The following is a 22,955-nucleotide window of genomic DNA, read 5'->3' on the forward strand; positions in this document are numbered from 1 at the left end:
GGTTGCCAGCAATCTTTGGCATTTCTTGGCTTGCAGCTGCATCTGCCTCTGTCGTCACGTGGCTTTCTCTCTGTTTCATTTCCTCTTCTAAGGACACCAGTCATATGGGATTTAGAACCCACCCTAGTCCAGTATGACCTCATTTGAACTTGAGTAATTGCATCTGCAAAGACCCTGTTTCCAAATATGGTCACATTATGAAGTTTTAGGTAGACATAAATTTGGGTTGGGAGGGGACACTGTTCAACCCAATACATGCAGGAAGTTGGGGAGGAGTGCATGCCTTTTAGTTCCACAGGGCTACATCCAAATTTAGGCTTTGCAGTGGAGCCTCTATGAAATGGAGACAGTAGGCCAGGCATGGTTGCTCACGCCTGTAATCCCAGCACTTTGGGAGGCCGAGGTGGGCAGATCATCTGATCAGATTTGTATTTCAAATTTGAGTGATCTGAGGCGGATTATTCCTGAGGTCAGGAGTTTGAGACCAGCCTGGCCAACATGGTGAAACGCTGTCTCTACTAAAAATACAAAAATTAGCCAGGCGTGGTGGCGGGCACCTGTAATCCCAGCTACTCGGGAGGCTGAGACAGGAGAATTGCTTGAACCTGGGAGGCGGACATTGCAGTGAGCTGAGATTGTGCCACTGCACTCTAGCCTGGGTGACAGAGCAAGACTCCGTCTCGAAAAAACAAAACAAAACAAAACAAAGAAATGGGACAGTAGCACCTACAGTAGTGTCATGGTCATGAGACTTGATCAAAATAACAGATATGAGCATGCCTAATGAGGTAGTACACAGTAGGCACTCAATACCTACTTCCTTTCCAGCTCTCCCTTCTCTGCACTTAGGAGCTTGGACAAGTCACCTAATCTTGCTTTACTTTCCTCATCTATCAAATGTGAATAATCATCATCCAGCCCTGCCTACTTCACCAAATTGCGATCCCAGGAGATAATGAGAAAGCTCTTTGTAAATTGCTTAAGGGCTTGTAGCTGTGATTTTTAATTATAATAATAATCATCATAATAACCCTTGGCCATTGTCATATCCGCTGCATTCTCCTCAGAGCCCAGCCCAGCCCAGCCCGCTCCTCTCCTGAGACAGGTCCTCTTTGCCTGTTTGTGCTCAGAGGCATCCCATGAAGTGTCGCCTCTGTCTGAGTTGGGAGGACCTTAGAGATGGTCCTTGCCGTTGCCCTTATTAGCCTGAGGAGGGAAACATGCTCAGGGAGAAAAAGTGACACCCGCAAAGTCACACAGCTGGTCAGTGGTAATTGGAACACCTTATCTGTGGCTCCTGTCTTCAGTCTGAACAGTGCTTTTTCCCTAGTTGCAACTTTAGGCCCAGAAGCAGGAGCTCAGGGCAGATAGAGGCCTGGAGTGGGCTCTGCATATGTTCCAGAGGTGAGGATGCAACAGGAGAGTGTCCTGCTGTCAGGATTAGAACCCCAAGAAAGGGGTCCCTGGGCTCTGAGTGAGCAGGCTGAATGGGCCGGTTGTTCTGTTATCACTCTGGCTATGGCCATCTCTGCCTACTCTGGTGGGAGGGCCACCATGCGGGGCTCTGGAGTCTAGATGTAACCCAAGGCTTCAGTGTCCCTGTTGACAGCCAGGGTGGCATTTCTCAGCAGGTCCTGTCCCTCTAAGCCTTGCCTTGGTGGGTCTAGGGAAAGCTCTGGGAAAGAGAGAGGGCTTATACTGTCCTGGTAGTTTCTGGCAAGTCATCTTCCTTTCCCCCCACACTGGGGAAGCCAGGCCCCTCCTTGGCCCCTTGATTCTTCTTTCCTTTCCTCCCTCCTCTTCTCAGTTTGCTCTCTCCCTTCTGTCTGCTTTCTCCCCTTCCCTCTCCCCACCTTGTCCCCAGATTAGAGGTCTAAAGATAGAGTCTCCAGGCCCACTTCAGGTGGGTGGTTTTGGGTTTGCTTGAGGCCACCTAGAATTAGAAAGTCTAGAGTCTTCCTCATAAGAGGCTCACTCTGGTGACTTATAATCAACTGCTTATGTTTATTGGCTTACTGTGTGCCAGGCCCTGTGCTAAGCGCTTTACATGCCTTATGTCTTTTAATCCTTACAACTACCAAGTGAGGCAGAGATGATGATCCCCGTCGTATTACAGGAGGCTAAATAACTTGCCCAAGGCCTACGCAGTCCTCAGCCAGCAAGTGGCACAGCTGGGATTTCAATCTAGATCTGTCCGAAGCCCACCGGTACTCTTGAGTCTTTCCTATATGGCCTGTGACAGAGCCTGCGGGAGCATTTAGGTGTCCACAGAGGGGCATGCATTTGCTCAAATTCAGAGAACAAATTCTTGACTCTGAAAGAAGGGCTTCCAATCGAGGAATCTTCCCTCCCAGGCCTGCACTCTGGCAGCACCTCCGGGACTGGCCTTTCTACAGCATCAGCCTTGGGGCCCGCCAAGGCTCTGAGCCCATCTGGTTCTAGGCAGCTGCCCACCTGTAGGAGAGACACTGCATCGGTATGGGGGGTGGTGACAGGGCCCATCTGAAGGTACTTGCCTTTTTTCCTAGTTATTGTTTTGTCTCTGGCCACCTCAATTTTTCATTGAATCGAGTCTTCCACTTAAAGAAGCATATCATTTGCAAAGAGCATTACTTTTGTCTCCTCACAAGACTGCTTGGGAGCTTGGATATGCTGCAGGCTCAGTGACGGGTGGAACTCTGGAAGAAGTGGGGAGGGAGGCAGAGACCGGAGCCAGGAGACCCAGGTTCAGAGGTACATATCCACCAGAAGAAAAAAAGGAGCTGGCCTGAGGGCCAGAGGGAGGTGGCCTGGAGAGAGGGAGGAATAGGAAACCTGCTCTCACCCCATGTGCAGCCCGGGAGTCCAGACTCCCTCCCAGTCAGGGCTGCTGGTCTCAGACTGTCACTCAGGAATCTGGGCAGCTGCAGTCAGCTTGTTGAGCCTCCACCCACCCCAACCGAGACCATTATGTTGGTCAGCCTGGCTCAGCCCAGCCACCTGCCTGCCTGAGCAGGTGGCTCAGTCAGAAGGGACCTTGGTGAAGGAGTGGTGGCTTTGAAACTTCTATCCACAGAGCCACTCTTCATAGGCAAGGGAGCAGAAGTTCAATTTGTGAAACACCTAAAAGGGGGAGCAGCTTAGCACCCCACCCCATTCCCCTCCCTCCTAGGGTTCCCTAAGGCTGGGCCTCTCAAACTTTGTTTCCCCCTAAGAGCAACAAAGGTGAGCATGCTAAAAAGCAAAATAAAACAAAACAAAACCTGTGTGCCATGGCTCATGCCTGTAATCCCAGCACTTTGGGAGGCTGAGGCAGGTGGATCACCTGAGGTCAGGGGTTCGAGACCAGCCTGACATGGTGAAACCCTGTCTCTACTAAAAATACAAAAATTAGCTGGGCATGGCTGCATGCACCTGTAATCCCAGCTACTAGGGAAGATGAGGCAGGAGAATCGCTTGAACCTGGGAGGCGGAGGTTGCAGTGAGCTGAGATCACACCATTGCACTCCAGCCTGTGTGACAGAGTGAGACTCTGTCTCAAAAAACAAAACAAAACAAAACAAAACAAAACAAAAAAAACAAAAAAACCCAGCACTCTTTTTCCAGACCTCACCCAAGAGATTCAAACCCAGCTGCTCCATGGGCGGGGTGGGGGGTGGGCGTCAGATCCGAGGTAGGGCCCCGGAAGCAGCCTGCTGTAACAGTCTCCCCATCGAGATGATTGGGACACAGATGGTTCTCAGATTGCCCTTGTAGAAGGCTGGCCTCAGATGTTCATGAACTTCTGAAATATGGCATGCACAATGTTAAGAGTGTGCATTGTCCCTAGGAGAGGATCCACAGGCACCGTCTGTCTTGGAGTCACAACCCATACAACTTTAGAACTGCTGTCTTCAGGGTTGTTTTGCGCAGTTGGAGCCTAACGTCTAGAGAAAGGTCACCAGGGAGCCAATGGCAGAGCTGGGTGGAGAGGGCTGGTCTCTCATGCCTCTCAGCACATTACTGGCTTTGCTGTGAAGGTGGTCAGGGACTGTAGACCTGTCCCTCTGTCTGGGCCTCAGTTTTCCTAGCTGTAAAATGGGGGTTGGACAGGATAATCCCAAGTTTCCATGCAGCTTTGATCTGTGGTTCTGGAAGTCAGGTCTCCTGCTGCCCAGTCCAAGTTCTTTGTCCTTTTCCTTGCTCCTCCCTGGCTTCACCCACCACTGGGGGGACCTCCCACTTTTGCATCTTCCATCTTCAGAGATTCTGGACACAGCCTGCATTCTGGCCCCTTGAGTCCCTTCTGTCTGACCACATGCCCAAATGCTCAAGTCCTTTCTCCCTTTCCGTCCCCACTCACCATAATTGAGCAAGGTGCCTGTGAATCTGGGGAAGCTCAAGGTGACCTCTGTTCAGAGCTGGACATGTGGGTCAGTGCCAAGGGGAGGGCTGCGAAAACTAATTTCCTGAGGCTCCTGGGACACACCCAGTGCTTCCTATGTCTTTGCCCTAGCTCCCTCTGTTCCTCCCTGCCAAGAATGCCACCCCCTCCATTCCCCAATCACTGTTGAAATCCTGTCTGCCTTTTCAAGGCTCAGCTCAGATGCCAGCCTATGTCCTACAAAGCCTTGTAAGCCCTCCCCCTCACTCCAAGATGAAATTTGTCTTTAACTCCTCTGCACTCCCTTAGTACCTTATCTGTTCCCCTCTGGGGGATGAGTTCTTTTTGGTCTTAGCTTTATCCAGGGAGGTGGCTTTCACCGGGTTGTGAGCACTGGGATGCCTTATGTCTTATTCTTTGCTTCCCAGCACCTAGCATGGGGCTGTGCACAGAACAAGTTCTTAATTGAGGCTTACTAAGTTTGCAGAATCTGCCTCCAGCTCTGGGCTGAGCTGGCCTCTTTACAGCCCCTATGGCCCATGTCACTGGCAGGCCATGGTTTCTCACAGGGCCCCTCCCTCTATTTGTGGATTGGAGGGAGGCCAAGTAGGGCAATAAGAACTTAAATTCCGATCTTGATTCTGCCATTTCTGGGCTGTGTGACCTTGAGCAGATCACTTCCTCTCTCCGAGCCTTAATTTTCTCAGTTTAAAACAAAGAGGTAGGGATGACAAGTCTACTGGGGGCTTGGGTGAATTAACTGAAGTGCTTTGTGTAAAATGCTGATAAAAGCATTGTAAAGAACAAATAGCTAATAAATGATTATGAGTTATTATTTTTTGGTTAATAGTTATTACCATTGTTTCTTTTTCTTTCTTTTTTTTTTTTTTTTTGAGACAGAGTCTCACTCTGTCGCCCAGGCTGGAGTGCAGTGGCGTGATCCAGCTCACTACAAGCTCCACCTTCTGGGTTCACGCCATTCTCCTGCCTCAGCCTCCTGAGTAGCTGGGACTACAGGCGCCCGCCACCATGCCTGGCTAATTATTTTTGGATTTTTAGTAGAGACAGGGTTTCACCGTGTTAGCCAGGATGGTCTCGATCTCCTGACCTCATGATCTGCCCGCCTCGGCCTCCCAAAGTGCTGGGATTACAGGCGTGAGCCACCGCCCCGGCATTATTACCATTGTTTCAACAAACATCTACTACGTTCTGAGCATTGTGCTGCGGGGGCCAGGGTGAGAGACAAAAAAATAATAATAACAGGAGTTCCTTGGTCTCCAGGGTCTTAAGGTCAAATGAGGCAGTAAGACTCTAGTACAAGAAGTCAGTGTCTGGCAGAGATGTGGCTGAGTGAGTTGAGGGGGGAGTCATTAGTGTAGAGGTGACAACAGGCTAGAGGTGACATTTGAGCCAGAAGGGCATGAAGTAGGAAGGGCAATGACAGGCTGGGAGGAGACCCATATTCCCTGTGGAGAATGGGGAAGTGGGGTGCATATTTGGAGAGTTTCAGGAAGGAGGCGGGAAAGAGCAGAGCGGAAGCAGAGTTAGAATTTCCCTGCAGAAGGGGCATAGGGTCGGCACCCCGGATGGAGCAGGAACTTCAAGCTTTGTTTTGCCAAGAAGAATTTGGGGGAGTGATGACTCATGATGCCGCCATTGAGAGTAAGAGAGAGACTGCCGGGAAGATGGGGTAGAAAAGTGAGGCTTTATGGCAGAGAGAGTGGGGACCAGGGAGGTGGGGGGACATTGTCCCTCTCTGCCCAGGCTTGTGCTAAGAATGGTGGCAAGTGGGCTTCAGTTCCGGGCTTCTGCAGGGCTGCCTGTTTATCTGGCCAAGATTGGGATTTGAACATTGATGTCTGAAGTTAAAGCATGAAATGACTCCAGAAATGTCAGAATCTCTATATGTCAGAGCCCACCAGCAGAAGTGATCTCTGAATCCACCTCCCTCATGCCACGCTATGCAGGTGGGAAGCAGAGGCCTGGGAGGAGGAGATGGCACCCAAGAACACCGAGTGAACTGGCCTCGCGCGCTCTGGATGGGCTGTGCGCACTCTGGATGGACCTAGGCCTGTGTTAGGGTGAGGAGGGGGCCAGGGAACCCATGAAGGATGTACATGACAAGCAAACGTTAAGCTGGGAGCAGTCTGTTGCTAGGGTGTGTGCGTGATCCCAGGTGAGTGGGATGTGAGTGGGCCGGAGCCGTCATCATTCCAGGCTTTCCTTCCGGAAAAGGAGAAAGGGCCACATAGGTGGGAACCAGGGGAATATTGGGATGTGGGGGAAATCAGGGGGTGGCTTGAGAAGAGGAGGCTGTTGCCAAGCAGCAAGAGACATGACTGTATGAGAACAGAACAGGCACCCTAGCGTCTGTGGGCCTGGCACTGTACAGCCCTGGACTGTAGTGGTATCACCTCCATTGCAGGGGAAGAAACCAGGGCTTCCAAGGTCAGAGCTAGGAAGAATGGAGTCAGGAGTGGCATCCAGGGCTGGAGGACTTCAGAGCCATGTCTCTGGCATGCCCTGGGTGGCAGCCATTCCAGTTCTTGTGAGGTCCTGGGGTCAAAGGGGTCAAGGAGGTACTCAGCCCAGGGCAAGTCATCTTTTGCTTCCTTTCACTTCTTCTCCATCAATCTGCCCATTGAGCGGGCCTGTTTTCTTCTACTTTACCCACCCCCCTTAATTTGTTGATGAAAAATATTTATTGAGCACCTATTATGTGCCAGGCACTGCCCTTGATTTCATGGAACTTATGCCATCGCTTCTTGGCACAGAGGGCTATCCCACATTGCCAGGGAGTGATGGGAAGAAGGAGGGGAGGGGGCCACTGGCCACTTCTCTCTCCCTTTACATGAGCCCCTCCCTCTTCTCAGCCTCTATCCCCTTGCAAATGCCCCTAGCCCCAGATGGTTCTTGTTGGAACTACCTCCTGCTGAAATGAAAACCAGTCAGAGTTAATTGTTAAACCTAATAGCTGGTGAGAGTTTCACTCTCCTGGGCTGGTGGGAGGGGGGCTGCACCCCAGGGGAGGGGTGGAGTCACCCAGGTTTTTCTGGCTGGTACCTGCCACCTTTTCCCTATTCTGGAATCTGCTTCCAGGGCCCTCTCCTCCCCTCCTCCCCAGGGGGCAGGCTGCCACCTGGCCCTTTCCCCTGCCTCCAGCTAAGGTGACCCTGGGAGGTGAGCACTGGCTCTGGCCTTAGTCCAAGGGCCTCTGGGTGAGTGCTCTTAGGGGAGGTGTGGGGGAGGGCAGGGTGCCTAGCCCTGGAGACCCGTCCAGAGGCCAGGCAGCCAGTGGACCTTGCTGGCTTTGCCTCCTGCTGGGTGTGGGTGGGGGAACTAAGGATGGTGCCACAGTGGCCTAAGCCCTGCACACAGGACCACTGCCTGTGCAGCCCATGCCATGCCGTTCCGCTCTCCTTCCCTTTTGTCCTCTTCATTGAGTTTCTTATTCTGGGCCATTCTCTGCCAAAAGACTGGGAGATTTGGGCACCCTGAGAATAGTGGCAAAGGCTTATTACTTCTAGAAGGCTGAGCCTCGGGGTAGGCCCCTGCCAAAGTTTAGGGACAGAGCTCAGGGTTCCAAGTCAGCAGGCCTAGTCAAAGCTGGGTGACTTTGCGCAGGTGACTTACCTCTGTGAGCCACAGCCTCATCCTCTGAACACTACAGGAGTTCCTATTTTGGGGAGGTTTGAGGGGTCAGTGAAGGACACTGGGTACTCAGATCCCATTGTCACCATCACTGTGTGGGCACCAGAGGTAAATATTAATTTTAGGTTCAGTAGGGTTTTGTTGAATGAGTAGATACCATTCTATTCAGAGGTAAGCTCACAGAGGTAAGTCAACTTTACCTTCGAGGCTTAGCTCTGGGCTAGGGCCAAGGAGGTCATCAGCCCAGGCCCTCAAGGACTTGACTGCAGAGCTGCAGCTGCCCTATACAGCAGCCATTAGTCACATGTGGCTAGTGGACATGTAAAATGTGGCTAGTGCCACCAAGGAACTGACCTTTTGAACTCTGTCGCCCAGGCTGGAGTGCAGTGGCACAATCATTGCAACGTCTGCCTCCCAGGCTCAAGCGATTCTCCTTCCTCAGCCTCTGGAATAGTTGGGATTACAGGCATGCCCCACCATGCTTGGCTAATTTTTTGTATTTTTAGTAGAGATGGGGTTTCGCCATGTTGTCTGGGCTGGTCTCAAACTCCTGAGCTCAGGCAAAGTAATCCCAAAGGATTTCAGGCATGAGCCACCAAGCCCAGCCAAATTTTAAATTTTATTTAATATTTAATTTTATTTGATTTTAACTAATTTAACATTTTAAAAGAATGCTCCCTTCATTTATTGACAAACTATGCGTGTTTGGAAACTTAGATTTGAGAATATACCTTTTTTTTTTTTTTTTTTTTTGAGAAGGACTCTCGCTTTCGCTCTGTTGCCCAGGCTGGAGTGCAATGGCATGATCTCAGCTCACTGCAACCTCCGTCTCCCGGCTTCGAGCAATTCTCCTGCCTCAGCCTCCTGAGTAGCTGGGATTACAGATGCACACCACCATACCCGGCTAATTTTTGTATTTTTAGTAGAGATGGGGTTTCATCATATTGGTCAGGCTAGTCTTGAACTCCTGACCTCATGATCCACCTGCCTTGGCCTCCCAAAGTGCTGGGATTACAGGTGTGAGCCACCGTGCCCGGCTTTTTTTTTTTTTTTTTAAATCATAAAGGCGGCTGGGCATGGTGCCTCATGCCTGTAATCCCAGCCCTTTGGGAGGCCGAGGTGGGCAGATCACTTGACGTCAGGAGTTCGAGACCAGCCTGGCCAGCATGTGAAACCCCCGTCTCTACTAAAAATACAAAAATTAGCCAGGCGTGGTGCACGTGCCTGTAATTCCAGCTACTCAGGAGGCTGAGGCAGGAGAATTGCTGGAACCTGGGAGGTGGAGATTGCAGTGAGCTGAGATCACACCACTGCACTCTAGCCTGGGCGACAGAGTGAGACTCCATCTTAAAAAAAAAAAAATTGTAAAGGCAAGGAGAAGCTAAATATCTTATGAATATTTAGCATCTGAATCAAGATGTGTTGTAAGTATAAAATACACACTGGATTTAGAAGAGGATGTATTAAAAAATGTAAAATATCTCTATAGTCTTTTTAATTTTAGTTTTAATTTTTTTTTTTAGAGGCAGGTTCTCACTCTGTTGCACAGGCTGGAGTGAGTGGCATGATCATAGCTCACTGCAACCCTTGAACTCCTGGACTTAAGAGATCCTCCCACCTCAGCTAGTAGCTGGGACTTTAGGAATGTGTCACCTCACCCAGCTAAATTTTTTTATTTTTTGTAGAGACAAGGTCTTGCTATGTTGGCCAGGCTGGTCTTGAACTCCTGGTTTCAAGAGGTCCTTCCACCTCAGCCTCCCAAAGTGTGGGGATTACAGGCATGAACCACCGTGCTGGGCCTATAGTATTTTTTACATTGATTACATGTTGAGATAGATATATTGGGTTAAATGAATATATTATGAAAATTAATTTCCCTCATTCCTTTGTGCTTTTTAAAATGTAGGTACTAAGGCCAGGCACGATGGCTCACACCTGTAATCCCAGCACTTTGGGAGGCTGAGGCAGGCGGATCGCTTGAGACCAGGAGTTCGAGACCAGCCTGGGCAACATGGGGAAACCTGTCTCTACTGAAAATGCAAAAATTAGCCAAGCATGGAGGTGCGCACCTGTAACCCCAGCTATTTGGGAAGCTGAGGCATGAGAATTGCTTGAACCTGGGAGGCAGAGGCTGCAGTGAGCCAAGATCGTGCCACTGCACTCCAGCCTGGGTGAGAGAACGAGACTCTGACTCAAAAAATAAAATAAAATAAAATGTAGCTACTATACACTTTTAAATTACATATGTGGCTCGCATTGTATTTCTATTTGACAACACTATTGTAGACAGAGTTGAGTTGGGCACATTTGATTAATAACAGAAGACTACATAAAGACTAGTTATTTGGGGAAGGTTGGGAGGTCAATGAAGGACAGATATTCCCCACCTCACCCCAGCCCGGGCCTTGCCCCTTGGTGGAATGTTACCCTGGACAGCCCCATAGCCTTGAGGATGAGTTCAGGGCTTCTTTTTTTTTTTTTTGAGATGGAGTCTCGCTCTGTTGCCCAGACTGGAGTGCAGTGGTGCGATCTTGGCTCACTGCAAGCTCCGCCTCCTGGATTCACACCACTCTCTCACCTCAGCCTCCCGAATAGCTGGGACTACAGGCGCCTGCCACCACGCCCGGCTAATTTTTTTTTTGTATTTTTAGTAGAGACGGGGTTTCACCGTGTTAGCCAGGATGGTCTCAATCTCCTGACGTCATGATCCGCCTGCCTCGGCCTCCCAAAGTGCTGGGATTACAGGTGTGAGCCACTGCACCCGGCCGAGTTCAGGGCTTCTGATGGCAAATGAAAAACCTTGGTCTGGGTCCTCATCCTGGCCACGCCCTTCACTTGCTCTGTGTGTGACCTTGGGCAATTCTCTTTGCTGAACTTGAGCCTTTCATCTGCAAACTGAGACTAATGGTGGTTGAGGGGATGGCCTGAGAAATAATCCAAGTGAGTATTTAGCACAGTGCCTGGCATGCCTAAGCAGTCAAGTATTTGCTGTGTGGTGATTGCTACTACTGTTAGTGCGGGGGCTGTTGCCACGACAGTACTGTTGCATCCAGCAGCTCATATTCAGTTATTCCATGTGCCTCAAGGGGACATTGGCCAGAGGGGAAGAAGTTAAAATAGCTTGAGGGTGGGAGTTGGGATGGGGATTTGGGGCTGCTTTGTATGATACCTCAAGAGATTGCTTGGTTTTCAGGTAGCTCCTTGGATATTCCTTTCTGCAAGTGATCAGGCAAAGATAAATTCCATTTTACAGATGAGGAAGCTGAGGCCTGTGAAGGGAAAGTGACCTGGCTACACAGCCGGAACCTGAATGCAGGACATTCTGCCCCTGTCGTGGTGGTATTGGAGCCAGCTAATGCCACCATTCGAGGTTGCAGGAGCAGCACCTGACCAGAAATCCAGAGCTTGTAAGCAATGGTTATTATTAGTCTTCTATAACTGGAAAGGATCTTGACATTGTTTTTTTTTTTTTTTTTCTTGAGACGGAGTTTCGCTCTTGTTGCCCAGCCTGGAGTGCAATGGCGCAATCTCGGCTCACCGCGACCTCTGCCTCCTGGGTTCAAGCGATTCTCCTGCCTTAGCCTCCCTAGTAGCTGGGATTACAGACATATGCCACCATGCCTGGCTAATTTTATATTTTTAGTAGAGACGGGGTTTCTCCATGTTGGTCAGGCTGGTCTCGAACTCCCCACCTCAGGTGATCCGCCCGCCTCGGCCTCCCAAAGTGCTGGGATTACAGGCATAAGCCACCATGCCCGGCCTTGACATTGTTTAGTACAACGGTCTCATTCTGAAGTCGAAGAAACAGAGATGAGAGAGACAGAGCAAGAGGGAGAAAGAGAGAGAGAACTGCTGATCACATAGCAAGTTGGTGGCCAAGCTGGAGCTGATTCTGTTTGCTTAGATCCAGGCTTCAGCTCAGCCCCAGCAGGATGGATGGCCCTGCTTGTCAGTGCCCTTCTCTCCTGCCCAGTCCCCAGAGAGGGCTTCTGAGAAAGAGGCTTTTGTTTCATCAGCTCCTCCTGGTTTCCTCTCAAGGTAGCTACACACATGTGCACACACACACACACTCACACCCATTGGCCCCAGTTTGCATTTGTTACACACACACACTCTCACATCCCATTGGCCTCAGTTTGCTTTACACACACACACACACACACACACACACACACACACACACCATTGGCCTCAATTTGCATTTGTCCCTATTCCAGGTTTAAAGGACCCTGAAATTTGAAGACTATCCACACATATCTACTTTCTGGATATCCACGGAGAGACCATGGGCTTTTTCATCAAGGAGGCCTGAGTTCAAATCCTTCTTCTATGTCTGATTCTCTCTGTGACCTTGGGCAAGTCACTTGTTCTTTTTTGACCTCAACTTCCTCATTTGAAAAGCAGGAACGGGAATGGTATGTGTACAACCTAGTGGTTTAGCTGGGCTCCAGACCCCAGCCGCAGTGTAGGGGTCTCAGCTCTGCCACTTATTCACTGCCTGGTCTTCAGTGAGTCATTTCATCCTTCTAGGTCTCAGTTTCCCCATCTTTGAATGGTGCTGCTACCTTTTGGACAGTTGTGATAAGGCACCTTGCTGAGCTGTTCACAGGCATCATCTCATTTAGTCCCCCCATTAGCCCTGGGAGCAGACACTTTTACTCCTATTTTCCAAATGAGGAAGTAAAGTGACTTGCCCTGGGCCACATAAGTAGTAAGTGTTAGAACCAGAATTCAAACAGGTCTGAGTTACTCCAGAGCCTAAGCTCATAAACCACTGTGTGTTCTTCCTGTTCACCTGAGTTTCACATTTTACATGAAGTAGGAACACCTCATCCCACCTGGAGACTGACTGTTCTGAGTGTGTGAGTCCAGGGTGCCTGTAGCTTCTCCCTCCAAGTCTCCTGCCCCATTGCATACTAAGCCTGACCTGTGGTTGGAGCTCAAAGAAGATTGAGAAAAGTACTTACATACTTTGAGTGAATTACACCAGAACAGGATGTGAATGCTAAAAAGACCCCGAGGGAGGCCGGGCATGGTGGCTCATGCCTGTAATCCTAGCACTTTGGGAGGCCGAGGTGGGTGGATCACTTGAGGTCAGGAGTTTGAAACCAGCTTGGCCAACATGGTAAAACCTCGTCTCTACTAAAAATACAAAAAATTAGCCGGGCGTTGTGGCGCACGCCTGTAATCCCAGCTACTTGGGAGACTGAGATAGGAGAATCGTTTGAACCTGGGATGCGGAGGTTGCAGTGAGCAGAGATCGCACCATTGCACTCCAGCCTGGGCGACAGAGCGAGACTCTGTCTCAAAAAAAAAAAAAAAAAAGAGAAAAGAAAAGACTCCGAGGGATCACTGATTCCAACCATATTTATTTCACAGATGGGGACACTGAAGCAAGGAAAGGCCAAGTGGACAGCAGGGGGTATAACCATGGCACCTGAGGAGGCATCTGGAGGTTGGGGCCCCTGCTCTCCCTTCTCCCCATACATCTAGTCCACCAGCAAGTTCTGGGGATACCACCTTTTAAATACCTCTTGAGTCTGTCCACCTCTTTCTGTCTCTTCTGCAACCACCCTAGCTTAGGCCCTCATCATATCTCCGCTGGATAATCACAACAACCTCCTAACTGATGTTCCTGCAGCTTCCCCTGCCCCTCTTCCATCCTCTACCCTGTAAGCCAGTGGTTTCTCTTTGCTCTTACAATAAAGAGCGAATCTTCTCCTTGGCCTCCAAGGTCCTTCGCTGCCTGGCCCCTGCTGCCGCTTCAGGTGCATATTTGTTACTTTCTATTTTGCTTTCCGCCTTGTCACAAGGCCTTTTTGTTTAACAGGTTCAGCAACTTCCCTAAGGTGCCTCAGAGAGTCAAATGCCAGCCTCTCAATTTCCAGCACATGCTGGGCTCATGAACTCCTGTTCTGAGGAGCTAACGCTGTTTCCTCCCTCTAGGTGCCTGACTGACAGAAGTTCTTGCCCCCGGGGAGCTGGTGTGGACAGAGGAGGGGTGAGTGTTCTGGAGGCACAGACTTATTCTCCTTCTGCTGAGGTTGGACGAAGAGGTCTTCCAGGCCCTCGGCCTCTCGATTTTTGACATATTTGACTGCTGGGGAAGTGTGAGGCTTTGTCTACGCCACCTGTTTCTGGTGGCGCTGAAAACGGGGGCCATGCTGGGGACCCTCCCTGGTTTTGGCTTGTTTTGGGTTAGGGGCTGAAATGCATATTCATCAAGCTCTGTATTCAAAAACAGGCTTTGCCTCTATTGCTCATCCATGCCACCGTGGCTGGTGAAGGACGGTGCTGGGCCTGGAAGCTGCCCCGTGGCCCTTGCCTGCCTTTGCTTCACCACTCCTAGGTCGTAGACTAGATTCAGGAGAGAGTGCTTTCATCCTGGCCCTGCCCGTTGACTACTACATGACCTTCCTTTCTACTGGCCTCAGGGTCACATCAACATTGGTGGATCAGGGGATGGGGGAAAGTAGGGTCAGACTAAATGACTTGTTTTCAAACTTTCCAGCAGGGAACTCTCCTTTTTCCATTGCACCCCAAAGAATCTCAATGTACAAAACAGCTAAAGGGGTTGCAGTGTGGGTTGGAGTTGGCGTGGGGCTGGCCAATTCCTCAGCCCCCAGACAATGCAACTGACCTTTTCTTGGCTTTATGGAAGACACTTTGGAAACCACTGGCCCGGGGCGTGTCAAAGCTTCTTCCCAACTTGGAGGTGCTGTGATTCTGGCAGGGCGAGGGAGTAGAGAGGGAACTCAGCCAATGGAGTTACATTGATTGGGAAATTTCGAAGTAACATGCAAATGTCACTGTGATGTTATTAGTAAGGCACAATTGCCAGGGCTGTGATGTTGTCATTCTGGAGTCCTCTGGTTTTTAATTTTGGTTCAATGTGAAGTATCTTTGTACCCCTAGGGAAACTTTCCATTTGTGTGTGTGTGTGTGTGTGTGTGTGTGTGTGTGTGTGTGTGTGTGTACACATGTGTGTGCACCTGTAGGGAGCGGGAACTATGGGGAATGAAGTGTGGCTGAGCCAGGCTGGGACAGGTAGAATGAATGGTGGGCAGAGCTGGGAGCATGTTGCTCCTGGGGGTGGTGGGGGTAGGGGGTGGCTTTAGCTCGGTTAAAAGGAGCGATTTGGCTCCTTCCTACAGGGGCCCCATGGAGATCTCTGGGCAGGAAGCATCGGGAACAAGGAATCCTCTGTCCACAGCCACAGCACAGCCGGACAGAGGAGGTGGATTAGGAGTTCCCGGGAGGGAGCCTGCTCAGCCTTTCCCTGACATTTGGGCAAATGTGTGGGGAGATGCGGAGCTCAAGGTATGTGCGCATAGGGAAGGTGGGGCTCCGTTAAGGGGAGGTTGAGATCGGCTCATACATTTATTCCACACGTTCCTCAAGCTTCCTGAAGCCTTTCAAGGAGCCAAGCTCAGAAGCAGACAATTCTGTAGGAGTCAGAGCCAAGAAAGATGAGACTCTAGGTATTAACCACCATCAGTTTACTGAAGGAGACAGGAAATGTGAGAGATAATAGACTTTCACAGGCAGCTGGGTGCAGTCGGAGCTAGTTGGCCGTGTGTCTAGAGCCCCACATTCAAGTTCTTGCTCTACAGTAATGGTCTCATGACTTCCCCTTTCTGAACCCTCATTTCTCCTTCTGTAGAATGCAGATGAACACATCCGCCCTAGCTACTTCTCAGTGCTTTTCTAAGTGTCAATTAGAATAGAGTTTTTCAAATCTCTTTGGGCAACAGAAACCCATATTGTAAGCATTTGTAGCAGAACTTGTCTGGTTCTGGGGCAGTTTACCCAGAATTTTGCCCTCCTCGTGGCTTAGTTTCCTGGGTGCTTTTGGAGATACCTCTGCAAATTCCCAGGGCTCTAGGAAGCAGGGTCTAAAGACCACTGGGTCAGGGTATTCTTGAGAACATGCTTTGAAAACTGCCCACTGCAACCCAGGTGATAGGGGTGGTGCCACATACACAAGAGTAGTTATAATACTGGCTTCTGCTTGGCCCTGCCCATGGACAGCACTGACCTTATCTTAGTTAGGGTCTATACAATTGGGCATGGCTTTTTTCCAGAAACCAGTGACAAAAACTTAACTCAAAGTGGCTTTAAACCAAAAAATGACTTTAGTGGATCCTGGGGCAGTTCATGGGACTGAAGAATGAAGAATCAGGTTGACTCTCTCTCTGCCATCACTGCCTGTCTCTCCCTTTTAAGCTGTCCTGTGTCCCAGCTTAGCAATCCAAACAGAAAAGGGAGACTCTTTTTCTTCTAGAATCTGTATGTCAATCCAAGGGAAGGACTCTGAGTGGTTCAATCACTGTTGCTGGGAGGATAGGAATATTCTGAGTGGCCAGGTGTGGGTCAGGTGCCTACCTATGTAGCTAACGTAGGGGCAGAGCTAGCACCAGACACCGGGGGAGTAGAAGGCTGTTGGCAGACCACGAGAACATGCTAGGATATTAGTGGAGCTCTAGGTTGTAACAGCTCATAGGCCTGCAGGGGGCTGTAACTCCCCTCTTCAGTTATAGTAATGCAAATGCCAACAATAATAACAATAGCTAATGTGCATTGAATTACTCTCCCTGTACCAGGCATGTTCTATTGTTTTATGTGTATTCTTTCATTTAACTGTCATGACAGTCTTTGGGTAGGTCCTATTATTACTATTATTTCCCCATATTATCGATGAGGAAACTGAGGCCCTGTTAAGTTAAGGCCACACTTTGAGTAAGTAAGGGAGCTGGGTTTCAAGCCCAAGGTGTCTGGCTTCAGAGACCATGCTCTGACTATTGCATCTCCAGCCTCTGTTTGGTAGGCCAAGTGGCCATCTTGCCTTTGCTTGTATGCACGGAGCTCACGACTTACAGAGGCAGCCCAGTTCCAGGTTGCACTGCTCTGCCTGTTGGAAAGGGCTTCCCTATGCAGTGCACATGTCTACCTCCATACAAATCCATCCAGCCAGCATATGGCTGTGTGTTAGGTGTTTCAGGAGATGTCAAGACAAATCATCCATAAACCTGCCTGAAAGGTCATCATCACAATAAGTCACATTACTTACATTGTGCCAGGCTCCATGCTGAACTCTTTATGTGCATTATCTCATTTAATTGCAGCAACAGTCCAGGTGCTGTGGCTCACACCTGTAATCCCAGCACTTTGGGAGGCCGAGGCAGGTGGATCAATTGAGGTCGGGAGTTTGAGACTAGTCTGACCAACATGGTGAAACCCCGTCTCTACTAAAAATACAAAAATTAGCCAGGCGTGGTGGAGCATGCCTGTAATCCCAGCCACTCAGGAGGCTGAGACAGGAGAATTGCTTGAACTCGGGAGGTGGAGGTTGCAGTGAGTCGCAATCGTATGACTGCATTCCAGCCTGGGTGACAGAATAAGACTGTCTCAAAAATATAATAATAATAATAGTTGCAACAACAACTCCAGAGAGTAGGTTCTGTTATTGTCCCCATTTTCCAGGGGAAACTGAGGCTCAGAGGGAATAAGTGACTAAGAAACTGCAAAGCTGTTATTTGAGTTCAGGTCTGCCTAGCTCCAGAGCCTGTACTACAACCCAGTGCAGTCAGCTATGTCCCCTAGAGGGGAATACATGTGTGCAGATGTGATTGTGACACAGTCAGCATGCAAATTGCCACTGAGAGGGACAGGAAAAATGCAACTGGAGTTTAGAGGAGAGAGGTCAGGGAAAGGGGGAGAAGGGGACATTTGATCTAAGTTGAGGGGAACTAGGATTTGGACATTCAGTTCAGGGAGGGATCTCCAGGAAGGTTTGGAAGAGAGAAGCAGGGGTAGTGAAGTTTGGGGGAACCAAAGAGCTGAGTTGGGGGTGAGGATGAGGGGTGTTGTGGCCAGCTGTGCTTTCAGGCCCCACAGAAGGTGCCTTCTTCTTCCAGACTGTTCTCTTCTGAGACGTGAAGAGGTTTGATCTTCTCCAGGAGAGCTCAACACAGGTGCCCATTTCCTTCCTTTCCTCCTGATGTGAGGTGGGCAGGCCCTATCTGGAGGGTAGACAAGGCACCTGGGCACCAACAGCTGTCAGTGCTTCATTCCCTTCTTCCTGGTGGTGAATGGCAGGAAAAATGGTCCATTCCCCGGGGATCAGCACTTTCTCCAGACAGCACAGTGCTCCAGGCACCAGAATGGCTGGACTAGCCATTCAGGAGGGTTCTCCATGTCCTCCCTGGACAGCAGGCTGAAGCATATGCCTCTCACCCATGGAGGGGCTCCTTTCTCCTGTGCCCTCCCTTAGCTAATCTCATCCATTTGTCAGAAGTTGGATAATGCCCCCAGAGGCCTGGGCTCTGTCCCTAAAGTGCCTTTGGATTTTTCTCCAAACAACACAGGTGGGAAATTGGGGGAAGAGTATGATGTAGTGCTAGGTGCTCTCTCAGTTTCAAAGGATAGAAGAATAGCAGTTATTTTTCTTGAGCTGGACTCACAGTGAGTCAGGGGTTTTATTACCCCATTTTGCAGATGAGGAACTTGAGGTTCAGAGGAGGAAAATGATGACAAATGCAGTTGTCACATGAAATATGAATGGCTGTGCCATTGTCTGCTGAAGGAGGGACATAAGTGTGGAGACTCAACATGGAAAACTGCCCCTTCCCTCCCCTGCTCTTGCCCACCAATTCCTCCTCCTGTGGCAGTGGCTCTGAAATGCTGACTCTGGCTACCCTAGCTGCTCTCCATCCTCTCTTCTACATGGTAGCAGATCATTCGTCCTGGATTGCTGCCTGCCTGAGAGCTGGAGGGGTGTCTCTGGGGGACTCAGGCCTCAGGAATGTTGCCCACGTAAGGTCCAGACATCCAGTATTTCTTCTGTGACTCTTACAGTCTCTGGAGTCCCTGGATTTCTCCAATCCTTCTTGAAGGAATTCCAGCATTTCTGTAAGGGGAAAAGAGGCAGAGGACAGAAGAATTCTTTCATAATTCTTCTGTCCTTAGGATCCTTCAACCCCATGGCCCTTATCACCTGGCTCACACTAGAACTAGAATCAAAGTCCTTCATATTCTTTTCTACAAAGGGCTTTTCAATTTATCATCTCATCTGATTTTCCTTGTAATCCTGAGAGATAAGGCAGGAAGGGTATAATTATCCCCATTTTGTGGGTGGGTTAACTGAGGCTCAGAGAAGGTAAGTAACTTCTCCAAGGTTACACAGACAGAGCAGGGCTAGAAGATAGAAGCCAGTGTCCAGGAATCCTGACCTTACTTCTCAGTGCCCAGTGCTGACAGCTACTGGGACAGCCTCTGGCTGGCCTCTTAGTCCCTCTCTACATCCAGGACTCCCTCTCTGGTTCAGCCCAGTGTGGGGGAGGAGTCATGTCCCCAGTTCAGACCTTCCAGGCTTCCTAAGGCCTCCAGAGTAAAGCCTCACTCACCACTTCTGTATTTGAGAGTTCCCCAAATCCAGTCCCAATCCACTGCTCTTGCCAATCTCAGCTAACATAACAGGCTAGTCTTTTCCTTCTGACAAAGTAGACAAGATTAGCCATTTGTTAGGGGGGCATCCCTCTGTGGGATGTTGGATGAATGGGTTTCAGCCTGCTTGCTGCTGAGGGAATAGACAGGGAAACTGAGGCAAGGGTCAGCACAATCGCTGCATTCAGGACAGCTTAGAGAGGCAAGGCTAAGAAAAGGCTTGGACTGGACTAATACGATGGGCCTTTCCCCAGGAAAATCTACTGCTTTGTTTCATTAAATAAAACACAGATGGTGCGTGCCTATAATCCCAGCTACTTGGGAGGCTGAGGCAGGAGAATTGCTTGAACTGGGACCTGGGAGGTGGAGGTTGCAGTGAGCCAAGATCGAGCCACTGCACTCCAGCCTGGACTACAAGAACAAGACTCCATCTCAAAAAAAAAAAAAGAAACACAGAGTGTACTGAGTGCCTATCTTTTGCTCTACTTCTATCCCAGAGAATATCTTCCAAGGGGCACCTTAAGCTTTGTCAGAAAAGTAGCACCTGGGCCAAACCAGAACCAGAGACCCAGGTTCCTAAGGAGCATTGGAGTTTACAGCTCAGCACTTGCCAGAACAACTGGGATTCTGGAATTAGTGATGATGATTGCACAACTCCGTATGTAAATATACTCAAGAGGAGTGAATTGTATGCTGTAAAGTGGTACATTTTATGGCGTATGAATTATATCTCAATTTTTTTAAAAAAGAATACCTGGGATTATATTAGAGCATGCCCTGCACATGTAGGTGCTTAATAGATGCTTAATAGATATTTGTTGAATGAATGCATTAATGAATGTAAATTTATTTATTTATTTTACTTAAAAATTTTGTTTTGATATAAGAACATCTTATAAAGCACATTTGTTTGATCCTCACAGCAGCTGTAAGGAGGACTTAGGGCAAGAATAATGATCCCCATTTAACAGATAAAGAAACAGAGGCCTGGAAAGATGAAATGACTTACCTAGGGCAATTGAATTAGAGTTTTAGAGAGTTGAAATAAGTTTTTATGCTATCTTCTCCAGCCCTTGATTCATTAAGCAAACCTTAACCAAGCACTTCTTCTATAACTGAGCTATCCCTGAGATGCTGAGATACTGATATCAATGTGACAAGACCTCTCTCATTCCCCAGTAGTTGAGAGGGAGACTGGGATGAAGAACCAAGCACTGACATGACTAATCACACATGACTATGGTGTGATTAGTACTGAAGGGAGGTGGGCTCAGGGGCTGCAATGCCCAAAGGGGCTCTGGCCAGCCCTGGGGAGAGCAGGGTGACTGCCCTGGAGGCTGACAGCTGACTGGACCAGGAAGGATCAGAAAGATGGCCAAAAGAAAGGGCAAGGTGTGGCTGGGTGTGGTGGCTCACGCCTGTAATCCCAGCACTTTGGGAGGCTGAGGTGGGCAGATCGCTGGAGGTCAGTAGTTTGAGAACAGCCTGGCCAACATGTGAAACCCCATCTCCACTAAAAATACAAAAATTAGCCAGGTATGGTGGTGCACGCCTGTAATCCCAGCTACTCAGGAGGCTGAAGCAGGAGAATCGCTTGAACCTGGTAGGGTTGCAGAGAGTCGAGATTGAGCCACTGCACCCCAGCCTGGGTGACAGAGCAAGACTCCATCTCGAAAGAAAGCAAGAAAGCAGGAAGGAAGGGAAGGGAAGCGGAGGGGAGAGGAGGGGAGGGGAGGGGAGAGGAGGGGAAGGGAGGGGAAGGGAAGGAAAGGGACAAGGTGGGCAGGGTAGGGTATCTTCATGTCAGTCCAGGGTGCCCTTGAATCCTGTGATGAGATTAGGGCTGGCTTTGATTCAGAAGAACAGGAGGAGTCACTGATGAATTTTAAGCAGGCGAGGAACAATGCTAGATTGCCCACTGCCCTCCATCCAGGGCAAGCCCATTTCAGCCCTTTCTTCAATACCACTCTCCCTGCCCGCCCTCCTCCTCTGTACCCTCTGCGCTGGTCACACGGTGAGCCTGATAGAGGTGAACTTGAGCCCAGGGGTCCTCTCTCCCAGACCAAGCTAGTCCTTGCTTCATCACTCCAAGTAGCCCTCCTCAGTCTGAGTCCACCCCTGACATTGCTGTTCTGGCCTTCAGCTGATCACAGCTAGAAACTGTCGGTAACATTAGCACTAAGCGCTAATAACCATTAAAACAGATGACCATTTACCAAGCCCCTACTCTAAGCCAGGCGTGGTTATAAGTGATTCATTTCTGTATCACTTAAAGTCATTTAATCCTCATCCTAAGAAATGGGTTATAGTATAATCCCTAGTTGGCAGATCAGGAAACTGAGGCACGGAAAGGTGTCATAATTTGCCTAAGTATTGGTGAAGCTGGGATTCAAAACCAGAGGCTGTGCTGAGTCTTATCCGCTGGACTGTAGAGCACACAGGAGGAAAAGGGCAGTCAGTCCAGCTGAAGACTGAGTGAGCAAAGAGGGACTGGTCCGGTGAACTTGGCAAACCACAGAAGCACACACAGGCCTTGAAGTCCATACATTCCATGTGACGGGCAATCTGCCTTTTGCCTTTGAATCTAGGATTTCTGAAGCTCTAGGCCAACCGTGTCCCTGTCTGTTTGATGTAGCCTGGCTGGAGCCTGAGCCCTGGACAACCAGATTCATATTTTCTCTCTCATCTGTTTCTCTTTCTCCTACCGACCACCCCAGTGCTTGGGCCTAGAAATGGATTCTGCCTCCAGCTGCTCCTCCACTGGGTCCTGATTTAGTCCGCAAATTTTTATTAAAAACTCCAATTTTATTGGAGTTCCTACCATACTCCAAACACTGTCCTATGTACTGGGATACAGAGGCACACATGGCAGGTAAACACATGCTATGGTCTGGATGTTAGTGTCCCCTTATAATTTATTTGTTGAGATCCTAACCGCCAAGGTAATGGTTTTAGGAGGTGGGGCCTTTGGGAGGTGATGAGGTCATGAGGGCTCCACCTTCACGAATGGGATTAATGTCCCTATAAAAGATCCCAGAGCCTTTGGTAGTTCATGAGCATGATGATTGGGTGTTCACGCATGGGGGTGAGATGTGCCGCCTTCAAACCTTGTTACAATGTACAATGTGAACGCATTACCTGTCTGACATGAAAAAAAAAAAAAAGAGAGCGATCTCAGAGAGCTAGATTTCCTTTCTACCATATGATGACTAGAAGGAGCCATCTCTGGACCAGAAAGCAGCCCTCAGTAGACACGGAATCTGCTGGCACCCTGATCTTTGACTTCTCACAAAAATGTGAGAAACACATTTTTGTTGTTTATGAGCCACCCAGTTGATGGTGTTTGGTTATAGCAGCCCGAAAGCAGAACTTCATATCGTTCTCTGGCATTTCCCAAGGGGTAGTGACAAAGATGTCTCTTGGTTCTTCCATGGGATGCATGATTTTGAATTTGGAAAAATACCTCTGTTGGGGGAGGTAGCATGTGCTGGGAGCCCATGTGCTGGGGGTCAGGCTT

The 22,955-nt window shown here is 49.4% G+C and overlaps 1 protein-coding gene and 1 pseudogene across 13 annotated transcripts in view, besides 1 other annotated feature; both read left to right on the forward strand.

Annotated features, from left to right (window-relative positions):
* EPB41L1 (erythrocyte membrane protein band 4.1 like 1) overlaps nt 1–22,955 on the forward strand; it is a 141,386-nt gene that overhangs the window by 7,073 nt on the left and 111,358 nt on the right. For 12 of the 13 annotated variants that reach the window (NM_001258331.2, NM_001258330.1, XM_047439972.1 and 9 more), the window contains exon 2: nt 13,940–13,994. The gene's annotated coding sequence lies outside the window, so the exon portion shown is untranslated. Of the gene's footprint in view, nt 1–13,939; nt 13,995–15,206; nt 15,314–22,955 lie in introns of all 13 variants that reach the window. The other variant, NM_001258329.1, reaches the window with a different exon arrangement.
* Nucleotides 14,291–14,790: an enhancer, noted in NCBI's record as "H3K4me1 hESC enhancer chr20:34700699-34701198 (GRCh37/hg19 assembly coordinates)". NCBI's record gives its function as "activates a minimal SCP1, AML or CMV promoter by ChIP-STARR-seq in primed H9 embryonic stem cells {active_cell/tissue: H9 hESC(primed)}" and the evidence as "EXISTENCE:reporter gene assay evidence [ECO:0000049][PMID:30033119]".
* LOC124904977 (uncharacterized) lies at nt 22,476–22,586 on the forward strand (annotated as a pseudogene).

The sequence above is a fragment of the Homo sapiens genome, chromosome 20 (genome assembly GCF_000001405.40).
Source record: "Homo sapiens chromosome 20, GRCh38.p14 Primary Assembly".
Lineage (NCBI taxonomy): Eukaryota > Metazoa > Chordata > Mammalia > Primates > Hominidae > Homo > Homo sapiens.